Here is a 12915-nt window from a genome sequence, read left to right on the forward strand (position 1 = left end):
CTCTCTTTTTTTTTTTTTTGAGATGGCGTTTCGCTCTGTCACCCAGGCTGGAGTGCAGCGGCGCGATCTTGGCTCACTGCAAGCTCTGCCTCCCGGGTTCATGCCATTCTCCTGCCTCAGCGTCCCAAGTAGCTGGGACTACAGGCGCCTGCCACTATGCCTGGCTAATTTTTTGTATTTTTAGTAGAGATGGGGTTTCACCGTGTTAGCCAGGATGGTCTCAATCTCCTGACCTTGTGATCTGCCTGCCTCGGCCTCCCAAAGTGCTGGGATTACAGGCTTGAGCCACCGCGCCTGGCCTGTTCTGTTTTCTTTTATGCTTCTCATCACATTTTGACTTGCATTGAGTTATCAATGTGTGTGCCCCTTTCAGAAAGATCTTCCTGAAGCCATTTAGGCTGTGACTATTATGTCTAAGCAAGATATGTGAAGGGCTATGTGCCCCTTACAAAAAAATTGCTTGCTTTTCTGCAGTGAGCAAGAAGGGTGATGTTGTATCTAAAGGTTCTTTGTCAAAGTCCTTCCAGAATTTTTCTTGCTAGCTTAATAATCAATCAGTAGATAGAAAAGAGATATAGATAGATGTAGAAAGATGTGTCCAGCAGTGTCCCAAATAAGGTATAACTAATCTGTGATTGGATATCACTGTGCACTCTAAATTTCTTGCCTATGTGTAACAAGTAAGTCAGGATGTCCCCCCCCCACCCACCAACCTCCACACCCAAGAGTCATCTAGTTGTGTTAGAAGGTCTGCAGGTGGGCAGTGGCTCATGCCTGTAATCCCAGTGCTTTGGGAGGTCGAGGTGGGAGGATTGCTTGAGGCCAGGAGTTTGAGACTAGCCTGGGTAACATAGTGAGACCCCATCTCTATTTATTTTTAAAGGAAGATCTACAGGTGAAGGGCACATTCTTTTGTTGTCCACCTGTATTGCTGAGTGAGCTAATTCCAAACCAGCTCTGGGGCCTATGACCTCCATATTTGAGCAGAAGAATTAAAAAGTCTGTAAAATCCCTCATTGAAATTATCAGGAAATAAAGGGAAGCTAAAACCCTCTTAGTGTCTCATGGTTTTGATTTCATTGCAATCTAGAATTGTATATAGTGCAGTATCAATCATGGGAAGCTGCCCCAGTGTTGTCAGCCTCTGTGACAGTATTTTATTCTCACACTGTAGGGTAAATGCATTGAGGCAACCTTCATATTTCTCTCAATCCTGCGCAATCTGCAGTAACCAGCTTTCTTTGATTACCTAGATAGGCTCAGGGGCCTCTCCCTCTGCATTATCTACTAGATTCTCACTTTAACACATTATATACAGTTGTTTAAGTCTGCTACTCCAACTGTTAACTGTCTAACATCTTTTCTTATGCTGGGCTCCTGGATAGAATCTAGCACTTACTGAGAGTGTGATGAGTGAGTGAATTAGTTGACATTGGGTTGCCTTATTGATATGCCCGTCAGGCCAAGTTCCTTGACTTACTAAGGCCAGTGTATTATTTTCCATTACATTTAGTTCAGTGATATTTTAAAAATGTGCATAATACTAGCACATATTCAAATGCCAATTCACATGAGGGAATAATTTCCCAACAGTGTTATCTAGCTTCTTCTCAAGTTCCCTGGGTGGAGGTCAGTCTTTGTAGTTGATGTTGGGTTCCTGACCCAAACACAGCTTGTGCCAGTTATGGAAAGGAAAAAAAAAAAGGGCAGTTTTCCATGGTTTGGATAAAGAGGTGACCGTGGGAACATGTACAGCTCTGTCTGTAGTTCTGGTAAAGTCACTGAAAACGTAACCCAGCCCGGCTCTCTTTTGTACCCACAAGGAAATGGGGATAGACAAGGCCTGTCAAACAAGAGGAAATGGAGCAAAAGGAAATAGACCCATTCTGCAAAGCCATATGGCATATGCAGCAGAGGGAAGTGTTGGTCCCATTCAGGAGGGAAAATATCTCTTTAGCTATTTATTAGGAAACATTGAAGTAATCTTAAAAACTGTGCTATATAAAGAAAAGATATGAACCCCATCTATTCAATGGAAAAATCCAAATGCAGATAAAGGCTTATGAACAGAAATGAGTCATTATAGCACTGCTGATAATTGCCAAAAAATATGTAACAGCTGGGCGTGGTGGCTCACACTTGTAATCCTAGCACTTTGGGAGGCCAAGGCGGGCAGATCACCTGAGGTCGGGAATTCGAGACCAGCCTGACCAACATGGAGAAACCCTGTCTCTACTAAAACTACAAAATTAGCCAGGTGTGGTGGTGCATGCCTGTAATTCCAGCTACTCAGGAGGCTGAGGCAGGAGAATCCCTTGAACCCCGGAGGCAGAGGTTGCATTGAGCCGAGATTGCGCCATTGCACTCCAGCCTGGGCAACAAGAGCGAAACTTTGTCTTAAAAAAAAAAAAAAAAAAATATATATATATATATATATATATATATATATGAAACAAGCAACTGTATGATTATGAAATAGTATGTCTCACTGATTGTTATATAACTCAAAATTATTTTACGAGGAGATTGTAATCACGTGGGAAAATGCTAGCACTAGTGATAATGCTAGTGATTCAACTCCTGTTGAATCACTGCATTATTTTAAGATAGTGGTTCTCAAACTCCAGCATTCAAAGAGTGTAAGACAGAAAGCTGTATTGCTGGCCTAATTCTGTAAAGAAGAACACATTTATGAGCAAAAATGTGAAAGCAAATGTGCTAAAAGGTTTTTCTAGATAATGCTATGACTAGTGATTTTAATTTTCGTTTTTGTATTTTTAAAACTTCTACAACATATATGTGTTATTCCAAAAATCAAAAAGAAACATTAAAAAAATCCATGTAATCAATATCAAACACAAAACTTTAACTTTGCTCCCAGCAACAAATACATAAAATATTTAGGGGCATATTTTTATATCAAGGTGATTAAAGCACTGACCATGGGAATTTTATGACTATCCTATGGGAGGTTCAGCCATGGTGCTTAAGATACCCCTAGTGTCCTTCTCATCTCCTTTACACCAGCTCTGCTTGCAATCCTGCTGAGTCCTAAAATCCCCATGAGTAGGGGTGACTGTGAGCCATGGACGTGCTTAGCAAGACCAATTGGATTCCTTCACCTAGGAGTTTAAACTAGAGAACAGTGGGGAAGTGAGAAGATACACAAAGAGATGCCAGGTTCAAGGGGCAGCCACAGTAACTTTGACAGAATGCAGTGATCCCCAAAGAAGTGACTCTCTGGTGTCTACACTCCTGTGAATTCCCCTTTCATGCTGAGGCTGAGCATGGCCATAGGACTTCGTTTTGCCAGTGTGCCAATGCCTATCAAATATCTACCTGCCATGTTTGTCATAGGACAGGCAGATATGTGATAGGCATTGGCATATTGGGGTTGGCCCTCTTGGAAACCTGAAACCACCATGCCCTAAGAAGCCTGAGATGAACAACTTCATGGAGAGGGGCCCAGCCAGGCCAGGTTTATCTCAGTCGAACCCAGAGCAGACCTGTAGGAGAATCAACCAGCCAACACATTGCATCATGAGGACGGGAAAAATCATTGTCATTTTCAGCCACTAAGTTTTAGCAGTGTTTTGTTACCAGCAATGGATAACTGAGGCAGTCCCAATAGGAACTTTGGTTGAATCCCTGTATTATTTTAAGATAGTGGTTCTCAAACTCCAGCATTCAAAGAGCTGGGTCAAAATTCAAGTGTCTTTAGGGGAGAGACATTGTTGGCCTCATTTGCCTTTATATCCCAGTTCCTGGAATGGTGTTTATCACATACCTAGACCTGAAGAAATATTTGTAAATAAATGAACAAATGGATCTTGGGAGTTTGTTTAAAATATGCCCACCTCTGGAGATTTCTAATTTGGTAGGTCTAATTTGGTAGGGCGAGGTCCAGGAAACTGCATCTGAGTGATGCTGAGACAGGTGGCTTGCAGACCACATTTTTATCATCAGGGCCTCAAATTATCCTTGCAACCAAAAGAGGCAATTGACCAATCTTCCACCTGGCCGTGCATCAGAATTACCTGAGGAGCTTTTTAACGATATTCCTTCCAGATTCTCACCCCTGACCTACCAAATCTGAAAACCTCTGGAGGGGGAGACTCACACTCTACATTATTAAGAAGCTCCTGGGTGCAGCTGGTGCAGCTGGTCCACAGATTGGAGGGCATTTTTGCTGGCCTAACCAACACAAGTCTCCAAAAGCCATCTGGCAGCCAAACACACTTTTCTCACTCCTGAGAAGAACACACACCTACTCAGTTAAACATTATCACACTAATCTTTAAAGCTTTTTAAAAGACAGCTTTCATTTTTACGTCAAGAAATGTTTGTTAGGGACTCCTAAATCTCAGTGTCTCATCTGTCAAACAAAATTTGGTAACACCTGCTTCCTGAATGCCATGAAGACTACATGAGGTAAGGTGTGTGACCACACATTGAAACCGGAAACACCAAGCACAGGATTTTTAAGACTTTAATCATAAGTATGACATAAAGGAGATTAAAATTGTTTATCTATTTTTAGGTAATTATTCAGGGTTCTTTAGGAGGTACCTTGTTCCTCCTTAATCAGGGAGAGACAGGCCTTTGGGACCTCCTACACAAAATGTTTCAGAGAAGGGAAACCGTGGACACATTTCTTATTCCTGCACATGGTGTTTAAAGCACTGTGTGCTCTGAACCCTGCATTACCTTGTTCTTTCCTTCCCCTGGTCCTTTTCCCTCCCTCCTCCTGCCCCTAAGTGTCAGCCCTTCCAAAACACTAATGCAGTAGGCTGGTTCACATCTTTGACTAGCCCTGGCTCAAGCTGTGTATTATATCTGAAATGTTCTTAATTCATTAATTATTATTGAAACAGGGTCTCACTCTGTTGCCCAGACTGGGGTGCAGTGGCACAAACACGGCTCACTGCAGCCTCAACCTCCTGGGTCTAAGCAATTCTCCCACCTCAGACTCCTGAGTAGCTGGGACTACAGGTATGTGTACCACATCTGGCTAATTTATCTTAAATTTCTTTTTTTTTTAGTAGAGACAAAGTCCTGCTGTGTTTCCCAGGCTGGTCTCAAACTCCTGGCCTCAAATGATCCTCCTGCCTTGGCCTCCCAAAGTGCTGGGATTACTGGCATGAGCCACCACATCCGGCGTGGAATGTTCTTTCTTGTCCATCCCATCCACTTAGAACTCTCCAGAGTCTTTGATGTCTGTTGCTATCTCCCACCCTCTGGTCAGATGAAATTGACTAGCCCCTGTTACGAGCTCCCCTAGACATTTATCCTGTTCCCCCCCAGAACACCTGGTTGCACTTACCTAAGTACATAACCTTTCCTTCCTCACTGAGTCCAAGCTCTTTGAGGGCAGGGGCTTTTCCTTACTCATCCCCAGGTCTCTAATCCTTAGTGTGCCTAACCCAGAGAATGGACTAGTAAATACTTGTTAACTGAGTGTATGAAAGTTAGGGGTTGTCTTTGGTGGGTTTAAACTTCTGAAAAAAGAAAGCTGTTTACTCCTGGACATAGTCATGTGTTTGTCTCTGATCCTGATTTCCTGATGTTGGCCTTTGTCTTTTTCTGCTTTCTGTGCAGAGACTTATGAAAATCAAACAACATGCAACAAGCTGCTTACTTGATCTTTAGCTAGTGGGGGTGTCTAGCAGGTTTGGAAGAGTTTGAATATTATATGTAAATATAATATTTGATGTAAATGGCTAATTAAGATATTAATGAGAAATCTCTTTTGAGGGCCAGTTCTGAATTTTTGTTGCTCCAGCTGGGTGTTCCACATGTACTTCAAGCTTAACAAGCCCCAAGCTAACAGATCAACTCCATCCTACAAGCCTGCTCCTTATCCATGACTATCCACCCAGTTGTCTGGACTCCAAGCCGCATGTCCCAAGATCTCCCTCTCTCTTGCCAAACAAAGAAATGACGTGTTCTCTCCATTCGGCACCCCCCAGTATTTCTCACATCCTTCCCAAGCCCCACTTTCTATTTCAGGACCTTCTTGTCTCTCACTGGGGCTCTTGCAAATAGCCTCCCAATTGATCTGCAGACTCCTCTCATTTTTCCCCCCAAATACTGATAACATTTTAATGTTATTAAGGCATGGATTTGAATAAGCTATTCCTCTGCTTGAAAACTTGCAATGTAGGCTCTCCCCATGGCCTACATACTGGTTGAAGTCCAAACTCCTTAGTCTGTGCCATATTTGAGGGTAACAAATGTATCTAATCAGAGGCCTTCTCTTGGGAAGTGAGAATGTGAAGAAGAAGTGGCGAGGGGGTTTTCATTCATTCAGGAAATATTGATTAACACTAACTCTATGCCATGTACTACTGTTCTAGGTTCTGGGAATACAGTGAAGACCTTGACTTTGTGGAGCTTATTGTATGGAGGAGAAGCAAAATAGCGTCATTGATATCTGCTTCTAAGATGACCAGGTAACTAGAGCTCCATCCTGAAAAATGAGGAGTGTGGTAGGTGCGTAGACTGTTTTAATGGCTCAAGTTCTTTGCTCCTCTCTGTAGCCATGTTCTTTGCTATGTGACTTTGCAGTTCCTTCCACTGGAGGTAGATGGACTTCCCCCTGCTTGACTTTGGGCTTGGCCTTGTGACTTGCTTTGGCCAATGGGATGTTAGATGTGAGGCAATTAGAGGCTTGAAATATGCTTGTGGGGTTAAGCTTATATTTCTGCTTCTGACATAAAAGACTGCCCAGTAAACCATTGGTCCCAGAAGAATGAGAAAAAATGTGAAGTAGAACCAAACTGCAAATAACGTTGTTGTTTTAAGACACTAAATTTTTCGGGTGGTTTGTAATGCAGCATTATTGGGGCCAGAGCTGGCAGATACAAGAGGTTTTTTTTTTTGACAGAGTCTCACTCTATATTGTCTGGGCTGAAGTGCAATGGTGCCGTCACTGCTCACTGCAGCCTCAACCTTCCGGGGCCAAGCTGTCTTCCTACTTCAGCCTACTGAGTAGCTGGGACTACAGGCACATGCCACTATGCCTAGCTAATTTTTGAAATTTTTTTGTAGAGATGGGGTTTCACCATGTTGCCCAGGCTGGTCTTGAACTCCCAGGCTCAAGCAATCTGCCCACCTCAGCCTCACAAAGTGCTGGGATTATAGATATGAGCCACCATGCCTAGCACAAGAAACTTTAATTCCATCCTCCATGAGATCTACCTGCTGTGCCTGCATTGGAGTTGCTGCTCCAGAGGTACTGGGCTACTGCTGAGCGCAGGGGGGGTCTTATACTTCTCCATACAAGAAACACTATCTTAATATAGCCATTTACATCATCACCTGAGAAGCCTGAGTTTGTCTTTTCCTTGCAGCCCGAAAGAGCCCAACTGTGTTAATCCATTTTGTGTTGCTATAAAGGAATACCTGAGACTGGGTAATTTATAAAGAAAAAAGGTTTTTTGGCTCATGGTTCTGCAGGCTGTACAAGAAACATGATGCCAGCATCTGTTCAGCTTCTGGTGAGGGTCTCAGGAAGGCTTCACTTATGGCAGAAGGGAAGAGGAGACCATGTGTCACACGGCAAGAGAGGGAGTAAGCAAGAGAAGAGGGGTACCATGCCCTTTTTAGCAACCAGCTCTTAGGTGAACCAATAGAGTGAAAACCCACTCGTTACCTTGGAGAAGGCACCAAGCCATTCATGAGGTATCCACTCCCATGACCCAGACATCTCCCACTGGGCCCAACCTCCAACAATCAGGATCAAATTTCAACATGAGATTTCAGGGGACACGTATCCAAACTGTATCACTAATGAAGACAATGTCTGCCCTGTCTATCACAAAGTCCTAGAGGGATGGGTTTGCTCTTGATTACTATACCGGCACAGAACCTGCTGGGGTGTCCAGTGCACTCCACTAGCTGTGAAACCAGATGTCACTCCTGTCAAAATTAGTAAATTTAATGAAGCCATCTGTCCTAGGTCCACTCTTGGAAGATCCCTTTCCATGCAAGAGGCTATTACTAATTCAACTGATAAACCAACCCACTCATTCACTCGTGATGATAGGAAGATGGTCTGCCAGACACCGGGATACAAAGGCCAATTAGACATGGCTGATCCATTCCTTATAAAGATCATAGGCTAATAGAAGGGACAGATAAACTATTATAAGGTGGTGAGATAAAAATTAAAGAAGTACGAGTACGATACTGAGGGAGTGGAGACTAATCCTGTCTGGTGGGTTAGAGAAGCTTTCAAGGACAAGATGATACTTGAAATGGGTTTGACAGGCAGGGAGGAGTTGACCAGCTACAGAAAGGGGAGAACATTCTTGGAAGAAGGTGAACAAGCATATACATTTAAGATCCATGGTGAGGGTGTAAGGGTGTGTGTAGGGGGATGGTGGGAAGTGGTAGAAAATGAGGTGGAAACTCAGGCATAGCCAGGTGTACACAGCTTGTATACTACAACCAGGAGTCTGGACTTGGTTCCAAGGGCACTGGGGAGCATTGAAGATTGTAAGAAGGGGAGTAACACATTTGTATTTTGCTTATTTAAAAGACCATCGGGCAACAATGATTGTGGAGAAGGCAAAGACTCTTGCTAGGTCATTGCACTAATAAAAGGGAACAATGAAGACCACCTGGCAGGCTGGTGGAAAACAAGAGAAGTGAAGGGATGGGAGAGGTAGACCTGGTTACTGAAGAATGGGAGAGCTCCCAGGTTTCTACTTAAACTACTGGGCAGATGGTGACACCATTCATTTAGGTTAGGGGACTTGCGAGGTGAGCAGGGATGGAATAGGGGTCCTCTTAGGCACATGTGGATAGGAGGGAACTGTGGGGCCTCCAAGCATATATTCCGTAGGCAGCTGAATACTCAGAACTCAGGAGACATAGGTATTCGGGTGTCATAGTGTGTAGATAGTGGTTGAAGCCATGGGTTTGATTTGTTACTTTGCCTGGCCATAGCTGGTGCTTGCAGAGGCACTGAAAAGTCATCCTCACATGTTGAGGATGATCTTTGGAGCCCCAGAAGAATCCCTAGATGGACCTAAGAGTTATCCTAGGAAATCCCAAGCAAGGACCATTTTTATTCACCTTTGTGTGGCCAGAACTCTCCACAGGGCTTGGAAGTTAATACATGCTCAGTTACATTGGATGAATGTGTTGAGGTTCTCTGATCCTTTGAGGTCCCCCAGGCCTGGGGAACCAACATCATCAGGTCCCAATACCTGGAGGTGATGCTATAAGTTCAAATTATGAATTAACCAAGTTAAGAATTATTGTAATTCTATACTTCCAGAGATCCTCTAACGGTACCCACTGCTATACCGTCCAAAGCGCCTGTTCAAGGTAGTGGTTATCAAAAATGAATGTGAATTAAAATCAGCTGGGGAAATGTCCTACAACTATGGATTCCCAAGCCTCATAGGTATTTGATTTAGGTCTAGTTTGGAGATAGGTATTTTGATTTAGTAGGTCTGGGTTGGAGCCCAGGAAGTCTGCTTTTGAAACAAGCTCCTGAAATAGTTCTGATGACCATGTGATGGAAACCATAATTTGGGGAAAGCCTCTGGTGCTGGCTGTTCTCCCTTGCCCATCCAGATGTGCTCTCTACTTCTAGTCACTCTGGCCTGTGCCTGCACAGCTGCCTTCTGTGGCCTGGACCATCTGGGCTTCTTTGGCCTCTGGCTGCCATTGGGTTCCATCAGTGGGAGACCCTAGCAGAAGCTGGGTAGGATGAGAGAGAGGGTGGACATTGAGTCTCCTGGCCACTCCCTGCAGGCTGTGGTTTGGCAATGACTGCATCCATGATGCCTGTCAAGCAGGTCCTCTCTCCTGGCTGCAGCTCTTGCCAAATCCTTCACCAGCTCCCTTTCTTTTCCCCTGCAGGCCTAGGGGTGGTTACGGCTTCCTGCAGTGGCTGGTCTCTGGGTGCTTCACTATGGTTTCCTTTAACCCTGCTCAGGTCTCTCTAAGTAATCCCTTCATTACATACTCTCCAGTTACCTCTTTGTTCCCTCTGCTCCTGCCAAGACAGGAAAACAAAAACATTGACTGGAAAGAGTCAAGAATTCTGGGCTCAGTTCAATTCAATTCAGCAAACATTTACTGAGTGAGGTCCTCTCAGCCAGGCTCTATGCCAGGAGCTGAGGTTACAGAAAAGAACTCAGACATGGCACCCACCTCCTGCAGAGTTCACAGCTTCATGGGATGCTAGAGGGCCCCTGGTGTGGCTGCACTGGAGGTGGAGTAGAGGCTGAGATTGTCATGCCTAGTCCAATTGGAGGCAGAGAGATGCAGAGAACCTTTGGCCATAGGATGCTCCCATTGGACAGGTGCTGATCAGGGTGACCCAGCCTCTAGGTGATCTGTGTGGTCTGGGTGCCTCCTGCCATCTCCCAATCACCGTAATTAAGGCTTCCTTCCTTCTAAAGCAGGTTTAATTCACCAGCCTGCCAAGACTCCCCTGCCTCCATCCAGAGGGGTGTTTGGGAGAAAAGAGGAACACTTGTTGGAGTAATGGGCTTGAGGGCCCTGAGGTTACAACTGAAGTAAAGCTCTGGCTGGTATGTGTCACAAACCTCCCATTCAGGGCTCATAATTCCACAAACCATCTCCATTGACTTTAAAGAAGGACATGATCTTGAGCAAGTTCCTTCTCTGCCCTGGGCCACAGTTTCCTCATTCCTCAAACAGGGCTGATAAGGTCAGTGCAGGGAGGCTGACCAGTGCTGTTCATCCAGAAGACTGAGAATAAGAAAAAGCATACTTTAAAGGAGTCTGGCAAACTCCTATTCATCCTTCAAAAGCCAACTGAACATTTTACTTCCTCCAGGAAGACTTCCTGGAGCCCCCTAACTTCTCCTTCTCTTGTATTCATCATAGTCTCCGGTAACATGACCACCAGCCTGCCTAGTCCACTTGACCTCTAGATTCCTCAAACATCTGTCTCTTTCTCTCCAGAACCCAGCACTGGGCCTAAGGCATATCAGGGCATCAGAAAATGTGTTATGAACTGAGTCAAAAGGAATTCTTCCTGCAACAGAAGAAGTAGTGCAGAGGGTTCACGTTACAACTTTCGACTTTACAGTGGTGTGAAAGCAATACACATTCAGCTGAACATCAATAAGAGATACCAATACTTCATTATAAAACAAGCTTTGTGTTAGATGATTTTGCCCAACCGTAGGCTAATGTAAGTGTTTCAAGCATGTTTAAGGGAGACAGGGCTAAGCTATGATGTTCAGTAGGTTAGGTGTATTAAATGTATTTTTGACTTAGTACGTTTTCAACTTATGATGGGTTCGCTGGGATGTAACTGCATCATAGGTCGAGGAGCATCAGTAGTAATACCAGTGACCTTATCAGCCTTGTTTGAAGAATGAGGAAACTGTGGCCCAGGGCAGAGAAGGAACTTCCTCAAGGTCACATAGCCTGTAAATGACATGGTAGCGTTGGGACTTGAAGCCAAACAAACTTGCTGACTGCAAGGGCTGGACTCCTCATGGTGCAGGGAGGCTGACCCGTGCAGGGAGGCTGACCAGTGCTGTTCAGCCAGGAGATTGAGAATAAGAGGACACTTTGATGGAGCAAGTGCTCCTTGCCAGGAACTGTTAAGAGCACATTTGCATCAACGCACTTAACCCTGACAGCCTTGTGAGGTATATGTGTGAACAATGCCCAGTTTGACAGATTAAGATCCAGAGCCTTGAGATGATTAAGAAATGCATCCAAGGGCACGCTGGCTCACGCCTGTAATCCCAGCACTTTGGGAGGCCGAGTTGGTAAGGTTCATGAGGTCAGGAGATCGAGACCATCCTGGCTAACACAGTGAAACCCTGTCTCTACTAAAAATACAAAAAATTAGCCAGGCGTGGTGGTGGGTGCCTGTAGTCGCAGCTACTCAGGAGGCTGAGGCAGGAGAAAGGCATGAACCCAGGAGGTGGAGCTTGCAGTGAGCCGAGATGGCGCCACTGCACTCCAGCCTGGGTGATACAGCGAGAGTCTGTCTCAAAAAAAAAAAAAAAGAAATGCCTCCAAGATCATACCAAGAAGAGGCAAAACTTACCTAGATTTATCTAGAGCCCATGCTCTGCGCCATTGCATTTTCCCCAGGGAACTTGACTCCAATTTCAGATTAGGAAGAAAGACAGCACACAGCTCAGTGTTGTACTGTACTGTATTTGTAAGAGATTTATAAACAGAAATGTGCCTCTACATCATGGCTCCCCTACCTCCCCAAATAAAAATAAAGAAAGAAAGAAATGGAAAGGAAAAAAGAATAGTGCTTCTAGGAGCATCCCGAAGTATATGAATTGAGAGTTTGGAAAATTGACAGCATGACAGAGTAAACTGCAGGCGCCTAGCGGAACATGCTTGCTGTGCTGGGGATCAGCTGTGTGATCCTTTCCTTCTCTGGGCTTCAACTGTTCCCTCATCTTTCTTTCAGAGCCTTCTTGACAGTGTTTCCTTTTGGATTGGCAAGTATGTGGGACAGTTTGTGTCAAGCACACAGTCTCTTTGCGCCCTCTACTGTTCAGTTATAGCACTGTCCGTGGCCTGGTTTGTTAAATTCACGTACGTTAAGGTAAGGGGATGGTGAGCCACAAAGTGCGTCCACAGAAGGCCACAATGTCACTAAGCAAAAGCCAGTCCTCTTCCATCCTAGCAAAGACTCGAAAGTCCTGTTGATCCTGCCCACACAATTTCAATTATTTTCTTAAGTGCTTTTTCCTGAGTGCACTTGCACACACGCCCTCTACACCCACACCCAGTACCACCTGTTATTAGAGTTATCACATTGTATGGGAATTGCCGGCTGACATGTCTTTTTAAGCACGAGGCCTGGCATTACTCACCTTGATAGTCTCTCTCTGCCCTGTAGGAGAGTGTGTGACATGTATACCCTCCACTCAAGTGTATGGAATG

General features: G+C 44.7%; 1 protein-coding gene and 1 non-coding gene across 2 annotated transcripts in view; both read right to left on the minus strand.

Moving 5' to 3' along the window:
* Positions 1-12915, minus strand: part of PTPN3 (protein tyrosine phosphatase non-receptor type 3) — a 162727-nt gene that overhangs the window by 132466 nt on the left and 17346 nt on the right. The gene's annotated exons all lie outside the window — the stretch shown is intronic.
* MIR3927 (microRNA 3927) lies at positions 3316-3386 on the minus strand. The gene has a single exon (NR_037493.1). It is a non-coding gene; the product is annotated as a microRNA 3927 (primary transcript).

This window comes from Homo sapiens, chromosome 9 (genome assembly GCF_000001405.40).
Source record: "Homo sapiens chromosome 9, GRCh38.p14 Primary Assembly".
In the NCBI taxonomy this organism is placed as follows: domain Eukaryota; kingdom Metazoa; phylum Chordata; class Mammalia; order Primates; family Hominidae; genus Homo; species Homo sapiens.